Here is a 19589-nt window from a genome sequence, read left to right on the forward strand (position 1 = left end):
GACAGGAGGCAGAGCTCAGGCAGTAATGCTCGCCTGCCACTCACCTCCTGTTGTGCAGCCCAGTTCCTAACAGGCCACCAACAACCATACCCATCTCTGGCCCTGGGGTTGGGAACTCCTGGTTATTAAACAACCTGATTAGGTTATTAAACAGCCTAATTGGATGGTTTACCCTATATTGTTGATGAGGAAACTGGGATTTGGGGATATTATGCAACTCGAACAAGACCCCACAGCTAGTAAGTGGGGAAAGCAGAATTCAAATTCATATCTGTCTGACTCCAACAAAATGCTTCTTAAATGAGTTTCATGAAAGTGGTAACATTGGTTGTCTTGTCTGTAACCACAGCCTTAGTGTCTAGAGTGGTGTCTGATACAAAGTGAGGTACTCAGTAAATATCTGTTCAGTGAAGAAATGGATGAGTCATCTCTTAACAGAGTGAAATAGATTTGAATGTGTGTGTCCTGGTATTTTTTAAAGTTGCATAGCAGTCATTTTGTGTGTGTTTCAAGACTTAGTATTTTTTTTTAATTTTTTTCCCTAGCTTACCTGTGGCCCATACCTGCTTCAATCAACTTTGCCTTCCCCCCTACAAGAGCAAAAAGGATCTGAAACAGAAATTGATCATTGGAATTTCAAATTCAGAAGGTTTTGGACTTGAGTAACCTAGAAGACTTGAAATATAATCTTTTATATGTAGCATTCACTTCCCTCTTACTGTGCCTTTAGCCTTTTCATGTTTCTGTCTCAAAACACTTTGACAAAGCTCACCAACTTTAAAATATTAAGTTTTTAAAAAATCAAATATGAAGTATGTTCAGCAAAGGCATAATTTTCTAAAAACACACACAGAAATCGCTTGAGTGAGGAAAAGTCCACATGGCAGAGACAGGTATGGTCCAGTTCCTCTTTTATATAGCACTTTATCATTCTCCACAAGTAGTTTGTCACAGGCATTCCACTGGGAAAGCAAAGTACAGTGAAGAATGAATTTATGGTATAGTTGAACCCAGTGGCAGATTGTACACTGCTAGCACTGCTAGCACACAGTAGCAAAGCAAACAGCTACATTATCTTTAACATAAGGCATGTAGCCATATTTTCATATAGTGGTATACAACACAGTATCATTGCAAATGCAGTTTACAGGGATTTTTGATATACTGGCTTGGGACCTATAAGATTCTTCTCAGCAGTTGCTGAAAAGCATGTAAATAACTACATAATAGCCTGAGAATAATGGGATTTTGATAGTGCCATTTATTGTTAAAGATTTATTTTTACAAAGTAAATTCAGGGTTTTAGATGTGTACACAGCTTTTACAAATCAATAAAGATGATTGTACAAGAGTATTTTCAGACTAATTGGATTCAAGGTTATATTCTTTTAAGTGTTGTTAGTCTGCATGCACATTGGCAGTAAACTAGTTACTTGTGTACTCTGTAATATTTGTATAATGATCATTTCTTCTTAAGGCTCAAGATATTAGAAAAGAAATCAGACCTAAATAATCATTGATGAAGTATGTCAGTTACAAGCACAAAAGAATATAACTGCTTTTATAAATCTTTTGAATCATGTACAAGACTTATATCTACATTTTTTGATCACCAGTTGTACCAAAACACTAATTTTTGAAAAAGATAGGTTAAAGTATTTGACAAAAGTGAATACAATAATAACACTTGTGTCAAAATGATATAGCTTAGTATAAAAATAAAATTCAACGTTTTGGCCAAAATGTTTGTTTTTCACTGGATTCTGAATATAATAAATTCAAAGTACCCTTTTTTTAGAGTTTCTAATAAAGTAGTATGTAAAAAGAAACTGCATTTTAAGTCAGACAGTAAATGTTTTTTTTAATTTACAGCAAATGAAGCAGTTTTATTAGCATGTTACAAATATTGCCAAACCAAGACTTCTCTACCATACTTTAACAGCTTTCCTTCAGAAAACTCTGAAGTTATATTTGCAATAATAATGAAACCAGCATTTAGTACCAGCATATGGTTCATATGCAAATAATACTTTCCCCAAAATCTTTCTGGGCTAGGCTATTTTCTTGCTATGCTTCCTGCACCCAACCAGCAGAATTCTTCCAGGGTGGAGGAACTAATCAGCTTGTTCTCCAACAGTTCTGAAGCCAACCCACAAATCTTTGAGGAAAAGGGGTCACTTTGTTTACTATTCTCTTGGAGATGGAAGTGATTCTGCTCTTCCATTTGGGTATATTATTTCAAGGGTATTTCTTCTTAAAAATCTTGGAAAGCCTAAGAGAGTTAAAGGCATCCTGGTTTTGTTTCATTTTGCTCTGTTTTAAATCCATATGCAAATAAAACTGCTTCTCTCTTACACTGCTTGAACTAGAAAATCAGCTTTTTAATGTAGGTTACCACTTATAAGCACAAAAGAAACATGTATAAGAAACCAGATTTAAGTGTTTTAAATAAAATGTAAACAGTTTTTATTTGGTAGAGATGACTCATGGAAAAATTGTGTTGGCTTGGTCTGCATGTTTAATGATGTGCTTGTATATCGATTAGCTGTGTCACTTTTAAATAAGAAGTCCACACAAGCAAGCCAAATTTTTAGATGACGAAGTCCATAAATAACTAGAGAATTTTTGTTATCTGTTGTTAAGTTGAAATGTATAATCATTTATCACTAAATTGCACATTGCCTTTATTTATTTGTGCTCTGTTTTTGGTTTACAGTGTAATAATACCTCATTTAAAAAATAAAAACCACTACTGTTACATTTTATTAATTTAAAAAGCTAGAAAATTCATGTAGTTACTTTTTTTACATATATAATCTGTTAATGAATTATTGATTTTTGTATCTGCCACAGTAAATTAAAGCATTACACAGTATTTATCAGTATTTTTTAAACATCCTGTCCTTTTTTAAAATCTTTGCTTAGTCAGTCATATTTTTGTCTGTATGATTAGAAGTTTTTACGTCCTTCCTTTTTTGTACAAATCTGTATTGTATTAATTTCTGGATGCAATTTTTCAAATATTAAAATTATACAGTCAGTCAGGCTTCAGTTTATTTTTTGAACACTTGGGCAATTAATTAAAGCCATATGTTTAAAATATTTTATAAATGCAAGCTATTCTTTGCATTATACTCTCTCAATCTAGTGCTTAGGAAAATTGCTGACACATAACTTCAAAAGATGTATGTTGTTGACATTAAGTATTACCAACCTCTGTAGCATATTTTCAGCATGAAATGTATATCCAATATTTGAAAGATCACACAGCTATTCCACCAAATGAATGTATAATACCATTTGGAGTACACCCAGAAGTGAACCAAGTGTAACATTTCATTGGCCGTAGATAGATAACTTCAGCTCTTAAGTAAGTATTCCTCTCCAAAACCATTCATTTGGCCCTTTTCCCCTTGTCCACATACCTCATGCTTAAGGAAGGAAGAGTGGAGATTATAAGAATGTAAGAGAGAATGTTATGGGTGATTAATGAAAGAAAATAGGTAGCTGGATGGAAAAAAGACCAGGATGGGTTTTCGCAGGAGGGGACACAAGATCAGTTCACCCAGATGGCCGCAAATCGTTTAGTCTAGTGCCTAGGTTTTGGAGCCAGACTGCCTGGGTTCACCATTTACTAGCTGGGCAAGTTAACTTCCTCATTCCTCAAATGTACAATGGAAATAATTTGTAAAATGGAAATAACCTACCTACCCCATAGAGTTGTAGGGAAGATTAAATGAACTAATGTGTAAAGCACTTATCCAGTGCCTGGCACATGATAAGCAATAAAAAGTGATGCAAGACAAATTATGGTACTGATGTAGAAACATCCTACAACCACTGCTTCTGACGCCTTCTGGAGGCTTTTGACTTAAATGCTGGGTTCAACCACAGATTATAGAACGCAAAGTGCTTTTGAAGCCTTAAAATTGTGTTGGGAGAATCTTTCTTATTCTAGAAACAGTACTGTAGGATTTATCCTTATAGCTGTCTCATGATGCAAGGGTTTTAAATACTATTTTATAGCTGTGTAACAAGATACAATTCTATTTTTAATGAAATAGTTCAAGTAAACAGAAAAATTTCAGGATTAACATAATGAAATACCATGATCCCACACTCAGACCTAAAAAATGATAATATGTGTTAATATTACCAGTTTTTTAAAAATAATTTTGCAAATGGGATTGAAGCCCCTTTTGTGCCCATCTCCAATCCCCCTCTACTCCCTCTCTGTTCTCTGTTAACCTGTAGTTCGTGTGAATCTTTCCCATGCTGTCTTTACATATATGTACCTATGTGTAAACACTATGTAATATTGTTACAGTTGCATACATCTCATGCTCTATATATCTTTCCAAAACTTTTTTCACTTAATATTGTCTTTTATAGATTTATTTACATTTAGATATAATGCATTTTTAACTGCAGAATAGAATCATGAAATGCATGTACCACTTTCTGGATCCATCCTCCCACACACTAACATTGAGTTGTTTTCCAGTGTGAACCAGGCTCTCTAGACTATAGCCCAGATGTAGAATTGCTGGATCACAGGCTGTACATCTCCGGCTTTACCAGATATTGTCCACTTGCTCTCCAGAGTGGTGGTTCCGGCATTAATTTCCATCAGCATTATAAAGAGTTGTCGTTTGTCCACATTCTCCCCAACACTTGGCTTTAGCAGACCTTTCTTGGCTTATTTAACTAGTGTGATTTAATTTCTATTTCCATAATTGTTAATGGCATTGAACACCTTTGTGTATATTTACAGGCTCTTCAGATTTCTTCTGTGAATGGCCAGTTCAATATTCTTAGCCTGTGTTTTCCTATTTTTTTTCCCTATTGGTGTTTAGGAGTTTTTTCCTTATTCTGGATATTGATCCTTTGTTAACAGGAGCTACATTGCTTCAGTTGAATTCCAGATCTGCCAATGACTAAGTGACTTGGAACAAATTACTTCAAATTACTTAATGTTTCTTTGTCTCAGTTTACTCATCTAGAAACTAAAGAAAATAATACTTAGCTCACAGGGTTGTTAAATAAGTTTCCATACAGGTATATTTGTATGTATGTACATATGTATGTATATGTGTATATTATATATAAGTTTATAAGTGTATCAGATATATGCATATGTATAGACTTACATACTTAAACTTACAGAACATACATATGAAGGGCTTACATTTGTGCCTGACCCATAAGTGGTCTCTAAATGTTTGGTATTATTACTATTGTTATTACCTGTATTCTAATTCTTATTGTGCTTGCATTACAAATATTTTCTAATATGTGGCCTAATTTTTAACTTTATTTACCTCATCTTTTATACTATGAATTTTTAATGTTAATATAATCCATAAAATAAGGTGCCATTATTATCATTTTATGTAGATAATGTTTAGATTTAACCACACATTTACAACTTCTTCAAACACCATTCCCTCTTCTATGGTCCTCCACCTACCTCTGGAATCAAATTTCCTCCTCATAAAGAACATCTATTAGAAATTATTTTAATGAGGGTTGGTTGGTAGCAAATTATTTTAAATAACTGTCACCTTTATTCATGAAAGATTTATTAAGCATACATTTGTAGGTTGATAATTATTTTATAGTTTTTAATATATTAATCCATTACCTTTGATTTCGTTGTTGACATAAAGTTAGCTATTAGTATAATTGTATGCCTTGGTAATCTCTCTTTTTTCTCTGGCTACTTTTAAGATTTTTTTTTTTTTCAAAAAATGGTAGAACATCAAAGCCAACATGTGTATGTGTATTTTTTCTCCCACTTGAGATTCATTATGGTTCTTGAATCTATAGATTTGTATCTTTCATCAATTATGGAAAAATTCTTAAGCTGTTTCCTCTTTGGCTATTGCTTTTTCCTGTTCTAATTTTTCCTGTTGAACATATGTTGGACCATCTCATTCAACCATTCCATCTCTTTCTCTGTACCTAATGTGTTGTTTAACCAACCCACTGAGATTAAAAACTCAGTTTTAATCAGTGGCTGCATTTTTTGATTTCTAGAAACTTCTTTGGCTTCTTTTCAAATTCACATGCTCTTTTTCCATACCATTTCTTCATATGGTTTTCTTTAATAATTTTGGCATACTTGTTTAATGTTCTCTTTTAAATTGTTCTCTTTAGTCCTTAAAGCACTCATTTTTCTATTTGTTCATCCGTTGTCTCACAGTGGTTTATTTCCTTATGTGATCTGTAATTTTTGATTTTGCATTTCTACTTAAAGGATGATCTTTTCCACTGGACATCCTGTGTGTCCTGAATACTGTAAGTAGCCTAGCAAAGCAGTTTTATGTTGTTCTCAACCAAGAACTTACAGGTTTCCCACAGATTTTTATGTTAACTTCTTCGATTAGAGTTCCTTCTCCACTTGTGTAAATTTGGACCCCATACTTACAGTGGCACAGTTGGGATTTATGAGTAGGGTTCTTCTATCTTCTTTTCATAGACAGAGCAACCCTTTTAAGGTCTAGGATTTATGCAAGAGAATTCGTTTTGGCTCCTCACCTTAAAGAGGCCTACAGCATGTCTGTTGAGCTCATGTGGACATTAACATCCATTAGAGAGCTCATCCTCATGAGTCACCCTAATATCAGCACCTGCTTCCTACTTCCGGCTTTTCATTTCTTCCTTATTTCCTATATCTAATTATTTCCCTTCCTTTCAAGCTTGGATATATATTTTTTATAGATATATGTTGTCCAAAATTTATAAAAGTTTATAGTACTAGATGGCCTCTTCCATTTCAGCTTGGTCTATAGAAGCATACCCATTGCACTAATGTTTGTGAATTTGTTCAACACTTGTTTATTGAGTGCCCATTATATTTCAGCAGGAGGCTAATCCTCAGCTTCATACTCACTTATTCTTTATAAACATAAGCAGCAAATTAATTCTGAGTATCTTATGAAACCTTAAATGTGTATCATAGCAAGAAAATTTCTTAAGGGTTTTCGTGACAATTATGCAGCTCAATGTTTTCATGCCCTTTAGAGATTATGACTGAACACATGGGCATACATACAATAGAAGCATTAGTCGCCACTGAGTTAAGCTGGTAGGTTTTTGTGGGTTTTTTGTTTTTTTGTTTTTTTTTTTGAGATGGAGTCTCACTGTGTTGCCCAGGCTGGAATGTAGTGGTGTGATCTTGGCTCACTGCAAGCTCCGCCTCTCGGGTTCACGCCATTCTCTTGCCTCAGCCTCCCGAGTAACTGGGACTACAGGCGCCTGCCACCATGCCCGGCTAATTTTTTTGTATTTTTATTAGAGACAGGGTTTCACCGTGTTAGCCAGGATGGTCTCAATCTCCTGACCTTGTGATCTGCCTGCCTCGGCCTCCCAAAGTGCTGGGATTACAGGCATGAGCCACCATGCCCGGCCACTGGTAGGTTTTTCTGTAACCAGACTAGTTTTCCTATGTGTACTTGCACACACACAAATTACAATGAAAAAATACAGAATTATTTCAGGAGTTTCTCAAGCACAATCTTGTGCTGTGTTTCCAACCATATAGGCCACCTCCACCTATAAGACTTTCAATATGGCTGCCTTGTCTATTTCTGTCACTGGCAATCTTATTCTTCTGATTTCCTTGGCTTGTAAACGTTAATCTCATTTTGACTTTACTTTCTCTTTAACGTCCATGTCAGCAAGCTTTATCTTTACATTGTCCTTCTGCTCAATTTCTACAGCCTCTTCCGTGATTTAGAGAGACACTCAACCCTTCACAACTAACTTACTTCCTTGTCTGTAGACTTACTCTTTTCCCAGTTTTCCTAAGGCCCCTACAGTTAATCTTTCTAAAATTCTGTTTTTATTCTGTGCCTCCTTATTACAAATCAAAGATGTATCTGGTGCTTATTTGGCCACCTTCTAACTGCAAAGCATAGCATAAGTTCTACTTTTATTTTGCATAATTTGTTTTTGTTCCCTAATACCAGCTTCCAAAAGGATAGGTCCTTTACTGTCTCCTTAACACATCCTGTTCAGTCCTATCTCTGCCTGCTCAGCCTAGTGCCTTCTGTGGTCTTCTTTCTGTTCCTTTCTTCTCCCTGTCTATCCCAACTTAGCTGAGTCTCCTGCCCTCCAGAGCCTCCCAAAACAAGAATTTTCTCTCCCCTGCCAAACCTTATCCTGAACCATCACCAACCCCTGAAACAAACAAACAAACAAAATCCATCTGAAAAGCAAATCTTCTTTTTTATACCCCTGACACAAATCTTCATTTCTCAGATGTCCGTATTTTCACACTGGTCTGTGGTTAAATGTGTGCATATCAGCAGCTCAAGAGCAGAGGTATTTCTTATGTCCCTGCCTAGCACCTGGCACAGTGCTGGGACAGTAAACTCAGGTAAAATCCTGCCTGACTTCTTAACTTGACTGGGCAGGTGAAACACCTACCAAATCAGCATAGTGAACCAGAGACCTGCATGGATAAGTAGTTTCATCTTGAATTCATAGCCTGTTTCCCTGACTCACACAAACCTGCTCACACCCCGACCGTCAACCTCCAGGAAACGCCTCCGAACCCCCACCCCAGGCCCTGTGTTCCCATCAGTCTTGGGCTGCCTTTCCACTCCAAACTACACAGAGCCTCAGCCTGCCCATCTCCAATTACCAAGTTGCTCATTCACCGAAGGAAGCAGCAGTGAGTGGCAGTGGCCACTGTACATTAACTGAGAAGGGAAAAAACAAACAACAAAACAGGTTACAGGGTAGCTTTATGGTACAATCCAAATTTTGAGTGTGTGTCTGTGCGTGAGAGCGTGCATGTATGAATGTGTGTATACATATGTGTATGTTCTAAAAGATATTGCACTTTGTTAACCGTTGTTATCACTGAGATTATGCATGCTTTTACTTTAATTTTTATCCAGTACCTTGGGCATCTATAGGATATTAATTAAAGGAACAGAGATAAATATTTATGGATCACTTATGGTGTATGTGGCATTTTATGCACACAATTTTACATTTCATTTAATCTTTACAACAGCAGCATAAAATTCGTGTTATTTTCTCCATATTACAGACAAGGAAGTTGAAACTCAGGCCTAGAGCCTGTCCAAGGTCACACAGCTGTCAAGGAGCCAAGGCAGAAGTTGAAGTCACATCTGTCTGACTCAAAACATGATTTTCCATTTCACATGCTCCCCCAGCTAGTGAGGCTTTCCAGAAACTCCCAAGCTTGAACCATTCCACTGGAAGTGGAGAAAACATTTTCTTGCTGATTAGACTAGAAGTCAGTCAATGTGGATTCTAGTCCTAAATATGACACTTAATGGTTGTGTAACCTTGTATAATATACTTCCCTTTGCTTCCCTTTCTGCCTTCCAAAAACAAATTATGTATATTCTTGGAATTTTAAAATATACAAACTAATTTCTTCTGGGTCAAGAGAGAAATTCTGTCTATAATAATGACTACTTATAAAACCATGACAGTGAGTGCCTATATGTCTGACTACCTGGGATATAGGCAAAGCAGTTTTTGTGGGGACATTTATAGCTCGAAGTGTTTTTATTACCAAAAGATAAAATTAATGGATCAACAAAAAAATTAAAAATTCAAGGGAAGGGGTAGCAAAGAAAAATAAAGAGAAAAAGAGATAAAAGCATCAATAAATAAATGAGGAAACATAAAAACAGTATAATTGAGACATAAGCCCAAGAGCAGTTTTCTTGAAAAGACTGAAAAATCAATACATTTCCAGCAAATATTAATCACGAAAAAGGGAAAACACACAAAAGTGGAATCAAATGCAGTTGCAAACAGCAGGGGAAATCCATGGAGCCCAGGATTCTCCTGCTCTTCAGGGGCTACAATTTTGTCACTTCCTAGAAGAAAACAAGTTTGGTAGGGCAGAATTTCAGAGGCTGATTTCACAATGCCTTCTAGAAAATGACTAAGGCTTTCCCTTTAGAAAGAATCTATATTGGACATATTCAACACACTTAGGGACTATTTCCAATTCTACTCTGTCCCTCACCTTAACCTCTCCTCTGAACTCTAGTTCCAGATTTCAGCAGCCTCTGGGCAGCTCCACCAGCTCCTCAAAAATGCAGCCACTCAGATCTCATATTCTCCCATTCTATTCTCCTCCCCCTCCCCATCCTGTTCCCCTTTTCTCTTCCTCATCTACTCTTTCTCTGGCTCTACAAATGACACCATCTACCTGCTCACCCCAGGTTAACCCAAGGCATTGTTGTTTAACAACTCCTTCTCTTTTGTCCTTGTCCCTTTGTACCCAAGCAGTTGCTAAGTCCCATCAATTCTGTATCCACAGTGTACCTGTACATAAAGTGCCACATATGCCTGTTTACAGGCCTTGACCACCTAATCACTGCAGTAGCTCTAATCTGGTCTCTCTGTGACAGGTCTCTTCCACCTCAAATTCATCTACATACAACCCACCACCACATTGCTCAGAAACTCTCAATGATCTAACAAAGGTCTCATATCCAGAGTCTACAAGGAACTCCAACAAATTTACAAGAAAAAAACAACCCCATTAAAAAGTGGGCAAAGGACATGAACAGACACTTCTCAAAAGAAGACATTCATGTAGCCAACAAACATATGAAAAAAACTCAACATCACTGATCATTAGAGAAATGCAAATCAAAACCACAATGAGCCCAGGCGCAGTGGCTCACGCCTGTAATCCCAGCACTTTGGGAGGCCGAGGCAGGTGGATCACCAGAGGTCAGGAGTTCACGACCAGCCTGCCCAACATGGTGAAACCCCATCTCTACTAAAAATACAAAAAAAAAAAAAAATGGCCAGGCATGGTGGCAGACACCTGTAACCCCAGGTACTTGGGAGGCTGAGGCAGGAGAATTGCTTGAACCTGGGAGGTGGAGGCTGTAGTAAGCCAAGATCATGCCACTGCACTCCATCCTGGGAGACAGAGCAAGACGCCATCGAAAAAAAAGAAAAAAAAAGAAAAAAAAAACACAAGAGATGCCATCTCACACACACCAGTCAGAATGGCTATTATTAAAAAGTCAAGACACAACAGATGCTGGTGAGGTTTCAGAGAAAAAGGAACGCTTTTACACTGTTGGTGGGAATGTAAATTAGTTCAATCATTGTGGAAAACAGTGTGGCGATTCCTCAAAGATCTAGAAGCAGAAATAACATTTCACTCAGCAATCCCATTACTAGGTATGTACCCAAAGGAATATAAATCATTCTTTTATAAAGATACATGCATGTGTATGTTCACTGTAGCACTATTCACAATAGCAAAGACATGAAATCAATCCAAATGCCCATCAATGATAGACTGGACAAAGAAAATACGGTACATATATACCATGGAATACTATCCAGCCATAAAAAGGAATGAGATTATGTCCTTTTCAGGGACAAGGATGGAGCTGGAAGCTGTTATCCTCAACAAACTAACGCAGGAACAGAAAACCAAATGTCACATATTCTCACTTATAAGTGGAAGCCGAACGATGAAAACATATGGATACATGGGAGGAACAACACACAATTGGGTCTGTCGAGGCAAGGGGCATAGGGAGGGAGAGCATCAGGAAGAATAGCTAATGGATGCTAGGCTTAATACCTAAGTGATGGGTTAATCAGTGCAGCAAATCACCATGGCATGTGTTTACCTATGTAACAAACCTACACATCCTGCACATGTACCCTGGAACTTAAAGTTGATGAAAAAAATAATATGAAAAGAAAAGAAAAGAAGCTCTCAATGGCTGTCTATTGCCAACAACAGCAAGTCAAAACACATTGGCCAGGGATTAAAGGCTTTCAATTGTTCAACCCAATTTGTTCAACCTTAGCTCTCATGCATTTCCTTCAGATATTCCATAATTTTCCCAAACAGCAAGAAAACTTGTCATAAAACCATGACAAGAGTTCTGAGAAAAGGGATTACTAAGAAATTGTGCAGCAACCTGAGTTGTCCTTCAAATAAAAAAGTAAAAAATATGTTTGAACATGCATGAATTTAGAGAATGCAGCCCTTAAATGCTCACCTGAAACAAACAAACAAAACCTACTAGATGACAAAATTCAAGCTACAAGTAGATGAATTCTTAACATAATAAAATAGAACAAAAGCAAACAAAACATCATGTCAGGCAAATGAAACCCTGTGTATGGAGCAAACGAAACACGTTCTTTGCCATCCTCAGCGGAAGAAAGGATGTGGAGCTGGGTTTTGCACACCTGCCCACTTTTTTTTTTTTTTTTTTTTTTTTTTTTTTTTGAGACGGAGTCTGGCTCTGTAGCCCAGGCTGGGATGCAGTGGTGCAATCTAAGCTCACTGCAACCTCCACCTCCCAGGTTCAAGCAATTATCCTGCTTCAGCCTCCCCAGTAGCTGGGACTACAGACATGTGCCACCACACCTGCCTAATTTTTTTGTATTTTTAGTAGAGATGGGGTTTCAGCATGTTGGCCAAACTAGTCTCAAACTCCTGACCTCAAATGGTCCACCCGCCTCAGCCTCCCAAAGTGCTGGGATTACAGGGGTGAGCCACCACGCCCAGCCTGAATCCCACTTCTGAGTCAAACTAGACCTAAAGTTGAATCCTCCTCTGTCACATACTAGTTATATGACCATAAGAACCTACCTCAATATCTCTGAGCCTCGATTTCCTACCTACTTACCTATCCAGCTACCAACCTATCATCTCTCTACATATCAACCTATCATGTATCTGTCTCTATCATCCTTATCTGTCTACCATCTCTATTACCTATGTATAATCTATCTACTGATATATACCATCTATCCATCCACATTATGTACCTCTTTATAAATTGTTGAAAGAATTGAATTTTCCCATTCTTGGGTAAATGGCTCCTCTTCCTGCATACCAACCTTCCTACAGAAAACACAGGACTTTGATTTTCCTCTCCCTCAAGGAGAGTTAGAATGAGAACTTATTTTCTCTCCACTCTGACTGCTGCCCCCAAGGGAGGGCAGTTGCTTCTTTATTGAGGAGAGCCTGGTAGCAATTGGCCACATTTTGATAAAGTATGGATTTCTGCACAGAAAAGGCACTTCAAGCCTTGTTCTTCTCTCTCGTTCTCTGGGAATCTCTGGCCTGCCTGAGCCTAGGTATAGTGGGTACTTGAGCTTCCAGGCAGTTCTGATCAGTGCCCCACCCCCACCCCGAAAGACCTGCCATTGCATCTGGAGAGGTAAGTGAGGAGAGGAGAGAAGCTTCAGTAGGCCAACTAAAGTAACAGATGCCCAAATTTCAGCGGCTTTGTATAGTAGAAGTTCATTTCTAACTCACTTAACAGTTCTGGAAAGATGTTCAGGTCAGCGAGGCATCTCTCCTTCTCGGGATCACCAGGCTCCTTCCATCTGGTGGCTCCACCATCCCCTAGGGCACCGTTGGAGTCCATATTCAGCGGGCTGAAGGAGAAAGCAAGATGGATTCACTCCAAGTATTAGGAGTCAATACTTGTGAATGGAAAGGGAGAAGAAACAGAATTGGGCAGAAGGAGAAGTCAAGCCGTGACACAGTCCTGACAAACCAACGGCCAACCCAGTGGGGACCTCTACAGTGGATGTTACCCATTGGTGGTGTCCTTTATTGAGCCAAAATAGCCGCGCCTCAAGTGGTCCCCAGAGGTAGGAGGCTCCTGGAAGGGTGTGACATTAGGCAAAGTGGATGAGGCTCTGTAGCTGAGGCCGGCCCTGACGGAGGTGATGGCAGGAGACTGTCTACTGACTGCACTTGCTGCAGCAAGGCCCATCTGGAGGCATACCTGCACATCTACCACACACAGCCACACCTCACTGTGAAGGAGTCTGGAAAATTAGTCCAGCTGTTATCTAAGAGGAGGGGAAAGAGATTTGAGTGACAGCTAGCAGTCAGGCAAGATCTTCTCCAAACTGATTTGACAAAAGAGCCCTGTACTTGGGAGTTGAATGCTATAGAAGACAGTTTGCTCTTCAGTTAGCCTTGTGTTGACTCCATCTATTAGAACCCTGCGCGGAGCAGGGGTGATGGATACCAGGTACCTAACCCTAGCAACACTGCCTGTGAAGTGCCTAGACAGAAGGTGCCTGATCAACGTGGCTTCTGTCTCCAGATTTTGTTGCTGAATTGGGCTTCTTTGAGAGTATGAACAGCCCCAACCAGAGCCCACCTAATCAGTGCTCAGTGATTTATTAAGTAAAAGTTACACAACTGCCCTTGTTTATTATGCATTGACCTCTGAGGTGCCAAGAGCCTATGATCACTTTCCTGGTCCAAGGAGATCTAGGAATAAATCCCCCACTTTGTACCAAGTGACCTACTTTTCTTACTCAACTGTCACTTCTGAGGTTCCAGTGGTCAAATGAAAAGTTGGGAAGCTCTCTGTGCACGTCACAGCTGAGGATGCAGCTGCCAAGCTCTCCCTGCTCTGACCCTTCAAAGGAGGGCATTGGGAAATTCAAACCAAACACAAATCGTGGCCACCCAGGGAGACTGCCTGGGTTATTGCTCTGTTATCTAGAACCACAAGGGACCAAGATTGGGGTACCAAACCCCACACTGGTGATTCTGAGCAGGGAGCTTGGCAGGCTGCCAGCTGAGGTGGATGAGGAGCAAGCAGGTTGCAAAGGAAGTCCCCCCAGGATGGGCAAATCTGGGCCCACCCATCTTCTGCCTGCCACCCCTCAGTGGAAGCCTGGCAGAGAGTGGATGGCTGTCAGAAGATGCTGATGGCCCTGTGGCAAGCCCCAGCATGTTCCCGTTAAAGATCAAAGGAACCATCACAGAACTGGAGAGAGAAGACCATCTTTTGCTCAGGCCCTAGCTCATCCTGTGACCTTGGACAAGTAACCTCACAGAGCCTCCATGATTCATCCATTAAGTAGGGTGAGTATATGTAGTCTACCTCCTTTCTGGCACTTTAAATCCTTGAGTCCATGGGCTCCCAGGGTCTGTGTACATCCTCCTGGAAGTTAATAGCTTTTCCTGTCGTTTTTCTTTTTGATTTCAATAACCTAAAAAGATTTCCACACACCAACTTTGGTTCCCCCAGAGGACCATGTTATATGGAGAACTGGGTTAGTTAGTTCCCGGTCACCCAGAATCACAAGATGTGTCGTGGTTTCACGGTTTCAGACGCAGCATTTGTAAGCATGCCAAACAAATGAATGAAGGTGGGCTTGTTTCCTACGGCTGCTATAACAAATTACTACAAATTCAGAGGCTTAAAACCATACAAATTTATTATCCCACAGTTCTGGAGATGAAAAGTGCAAAATAGGTCTTACTGGGCTAAAATCACGGTGTCAGAAGGGCTGCGTCCCTTTTGGAGGCTCTAGGGGAGAAACAGCTTCCTGCCTTTTCCAGCTTCCAGATGCTGCCCACTGGCCTTGGCTGGTGACCCCTTTCCTCATCTTCAAAGCCACAGGGTGTCATCAACTCTCCTGCCTCCCTCTTTCACTCACAAGGGCCTCTGTGATTACCTGGGGCCCATTCAGATAATCCAGAATAATTTACCCATCTCAAAATCCTTCATTCAATCATATCGGCAGAGTCCCACTTGCCATGTAAGGTAACATTCACAGCTTCGTGAGACTGGGGCATGAACATCTTTGGGGGCCAGTATTTTTCCTACCACAGAAAGATTTTTATTATCTGAATAGTTGAATTGAAGACAAAATGGACATAATAATAAGGAATGGTCAGAATGGCATACTGAGTCTTTCCCATGTATTCACTGATTTTCTACAACAGTACAACTATCATTCCTGTGATTTTTAAAATGTAAATGCTATTTAAAGTATTTGAAAACAATTTCAGATGTTCTGCTCTTCCCAATACAGAAATAATATTTAAAATGAAAGAAAAGCTTTATATGCTTCATGGTTTCTTCCCTTTTCTAGATTTCCCAATGCATTAAGATGTCTTATTAAAAGGAATAAAATAGATCACATGTACAGACATGGACAAATGTCCAAAATACACAGTTAAGTATAAAAAGCAACCTGCAAATCAGCATGTGTACTGTGATCTCATCTTCATAAGATAATAGATTTATATGTTTGTTTCTATGGAGAAAATACCCACAAGAATATAAGCCAAACGGTTAACCACATTATCCTGGGGGCTGAGGAAGCAGGGGGAAGGCAGCAGTAGGCTTCCTGAGCCATCATGCCTGCAATGTAATATATAGAATAAGCTCATATTATTTTTTATAACCAGGAAAATATTAGGACAGTGCTTCTCTGTGTTTAAAGACTAAGGGGATCTTCCAAAATCCCCTTTTCGTTGATGGAGAATAGCATCAATCAGAATTTCAGAATTCTGCCCAACCAATACGAGCCTTAGGGCCTCGCCTCTAAGTGCTTCCTATTAGCTCCTTTCCAGTTCCTCCTTAGAAATGTGCAGATATGCCACCTGCCATTGCAATCACAGGGAATGTAGGTCAGGTAATTAGTAACCAGACTTTGTTTTGGAAAACACTCAGTACATGCCAGTAAAATAGGTCAGTTCCTACTCCTCGGGGCAGAACCCCCGAGCTTTCAAGAGGGAGGGACCCTGCAGGTCACTGAACATAAGCCCCCATTGTCATACCCTGAGGCCCAGAACTAGGTCACCAGCTAGCAAGCAGCAGAGCTTGGATTCAAGGCAGATGCGTGGGACTCCCAAAGTCACATTCTTCCCACTCGGCTATTCTGTGGTCAACTACTGAATAAGATCCTTCCTGGGATTCCAATCTGGATTCCTCAGAGTTTGCTGGGCCCAGATGTGCAGTAATGGCCCGCTCATGCCTCTCTTCACCTTGGGCTGGGACACTGGGGATTGTGGGGAGTGATGGGGAGCATTTAGCGGTTAGCTCAGAGATGCATGTGTAACAAATGGATCAAAAGTTTGAGGGGCTGGGCTGTTCCCATTGCAAAGCCACTTCATCTTTGTTAACGCTGTAGTCTTGACAATTTCTTAGGGAGCCTTGGTTCCCTAAAGTTTTACAACCAGGCCTTTCTCCTGACAGAACTGAATGCGATATGATTCATGGACCTCAGAATGGTTCTGGCCAATGAGAACATGGGTGCAGACAAATCACTGAGGTTGTTTACTTCACCCACCCAGCACCAGGTGAGCTGGAAGGGTCACAGAAAAAGCCCGAGATCCACCCAGAGTCTCAGGATAGGGCATTTGCCTGGGGCTCACAAAGACCTGGAGTCTGTGCAGAAAGGCAGTCCAGCTGATAACCAGCCTGGAGGCACCACCTGGCACTTTCTTGCAGTCCAGCTGATAACCAGCCTGGAGGCACCACCTGGCACTTTCTTATCATACCCTTTGCTGGTGTTGGTGCAGCCACCATACTCTCCCCCAACCATGAAAGGGCATCCAGCACAGGATGATGGGGACATAGAGCATTAGTGAGCAGCACAGTATTGCTTCTGTGTGACACCCCAAGGGGCCAGAAAAAAAACAGGCTTTCACTACTTATGAACAAAGTCTGTCCCCAGGAAGTCATCAAGCTTTGTCTCCAATGAACTCGAATCCCAGTGACACCATATGGATCCAGCCACTGCACTGCTTCATTCTCTTGAAAGCTGGAAGCATGTGCTTTCTTCTACAGGGATGAAATGAATAAGAACTAGAGCACCTATTCAGATTCAGCCTCCTCTCACAACCAAAGCACCTCCTCCAGAGCTGTCTAGAGTTTTGCTCTCATCAGTTCCACCTTTCAAGGACACAACAATGGGGGAAACAATCAGATCATCTCTGTACCAAAAGGCTGGTCCTTCCATCCCACCCAAGAGCACAGAGAAGGCCTTGAAAAAGGAGGCCTCCCACTCCCTCACTGGCTAAAAAGCCAGTTTTGATAAACGGGGAGACAGTCCCCACCCAGGTCTTCTACCTAAAATCCTATTTGTGATGGCAGTGTTGGAGTGTTGGGAGGATACAAGACCAGGTCTGGGACTTCAGGAGGTGTTATTTTTCAATGGAAGGATTGTGTTCCTTCTGAGCTTCTATATGCAGATGCAAAGGGGCTATGGCGAAGTCATTTTTGTGCCACTGAAAGTTGATTTGTTGAAGGTCTTCTCTTTCTTGCCTCTTACTGTGGCTGGCTTTGAGGAAGGATGGAACCCATAGAACCAGAGACCCTCTAGGCTGAGTTAGAACTCAGGGACCACCCAGGAGGGAACATTCATACCACCGGAAACTTTGTAAGCAAGATTGCAAAGGAGATGGATGATCTTAGGGCAAATAAAGCCCATAAAGATCTGGTCACCTTTTCAGGAGAGTAACTGCTTTTGCTGCACCAGATTTTCCATTTAGCCATCCAGGATATGCGAGAAAACACAAAAAGGCAAGTGGTTCCCTGGGTCCCCAGCCACCTTGCCAGCCTTCCCCCTCCCTCTCCAGCCCTGGAGTGGGATGAAGCATCACAGCATTCCCTTCCCTTCCCTTTCCTTCCCAAGGTTTGAAGATGACCTGGTCTAGGGGAGTGGACTACGGGATGAACTAAACTAGTCCAGGGCCCTGAGTAGGTGCAGAGAAGGGTGTGTAGAAGAGAAGCAGGAGCCTGGGGAACACTGCTTGACTGACTCACCTGAGGCATTCCAGTGCACTGGCAGACAGGCCCCATGCTGATGGAACTGTCCTCAAATGAGGCCTCTAGACAAAGAGCCTTTCATTCCTTTCTGTAGTCTGAATTTTCTTTTTTTTTGAGATGGAGTTTTGCTCTTGTTGCCCAGGCTGGAGTGCAATGGTATGATCTTGGCTCACTGCAACCTCCGCCTCCTGGGTTCAAGCGATTCTTCTGTCTCAGCCTCCCGAGTAGCTGGGATTACAAGCACGGGCCACCACGCCCGGCTGATTTTTGTATTTTTAGTGGAGATGGGGTTTCATCATGTTGGCCAGGCTGGTCTCAAACTCCTGACCTCACGTGATCCGCCCATCTCAGCCTCCCAAAGTGCTGGGATTACAGGCGTGAGCCACTGTACCCAGCTGAACTTTCTAATACATCACTGTGAGCCTACAGTAGAGAACTGAGTGAATTTTCCTTGTGATTTTGTGTGTACATGCACTATCCACAGAAGGAGAATAGAGAGGAAGATTGCTCAGCCCTCACATCAGTTTTATGGATGGCACAGGCAGGAACAAAGAGTCTTTCTGGGACCATGATCAGCTAAACACAGAAAGCAGGTGGGAGAGGAGCTGCTTCATTGAAATGAGGGTGAGGGTTTCAGGGCTCCTACCACCCAGCTTCTTACTTCTCTCATGGCCTCTTTGCAGAACTTCAGACCTTCTAGAGCCCTAATAAGTAGAAAAAGTCCCCCATCTAATCCAGCTCCTCAGTGTGAGGCTGCAGGAGGAGCCTAAGGGGAGGAGAGCATGACCTGCCCCATCACACACCTGACAAGGGCCACACTAGGCTCCACCCTATTTCCCCAGGAAGATTGACCTTTACAAAGCTGCTCTTCCTCGAATGGAACCAAGTTGGAAAACACTCTGCAGAATATTATCCAGGAGAACTTCCCCAACCTAGCAAGGCAGGCCAACATTCAAATTCAGGAAATACAGAGAACTCCACAAAGATACTCCTTGAGAAGAG

At 40.7% G+C, this 19589-nt stretch overlaps 1 protein-coding gene and 1 long non-coding RNA gene across 12 annotated transcripts in view; one reads left to right on the forward strand and one right to left on the reverse strand.

Annotated features, from left to right (window-relative positions):
* Positions 1–3102, forward strand: part of HECTD2 (HECT domain E3 ubiquitin protein ligase 2) — a 105586-nt gene extending 102484 nt beyond the window's left edge. For all 11 annotated transcript variants that reach the window (NR_145526.2, NR_104291.3, XM_047424658.1 and 8 more), the window contains one exon: positions 546–3102. Coding sequence is in view for 9 of the 11 variants with exons in the window: in XM_047424658.1 (XP_047280614.1) it covers positions 546–666 (121 nt within the window). In the remaining 2 variants the exon portion in view is untranslated. The remainder of the gene's footprint in view (positions 1–545) is intronic.
* Positions 1–19589, reverse strand: part of HECTD2-AS1 (HECTD2 antisense RNA 1) — a 304499-nt gene that overhangs the window by 204757 nt on the left and 80153 nt on the right. The window contains exon 3 of the long non-coding RNA NR_024467.1: positions 13310–13431. This is a non-coding gene — a long non-coding RNA (HECTD2 antisense RNA 1). The remainder of the gene's footprint in view (positions 1–13309; positions 13432–19589) is intronic.

The sequence above is a fragment of the Homo sapiens genome, chromosome 10 (assembly GCF_000001405.40).
Source record: "Homo sapiens chromosome 10, GRCh38.p14 Primary Assembly".
Lineage (NCBI taxonomy): Eukaryota > Metazoa > Chordata > Mammalia > Primates > Hominidae > Homo > Homo sapiens.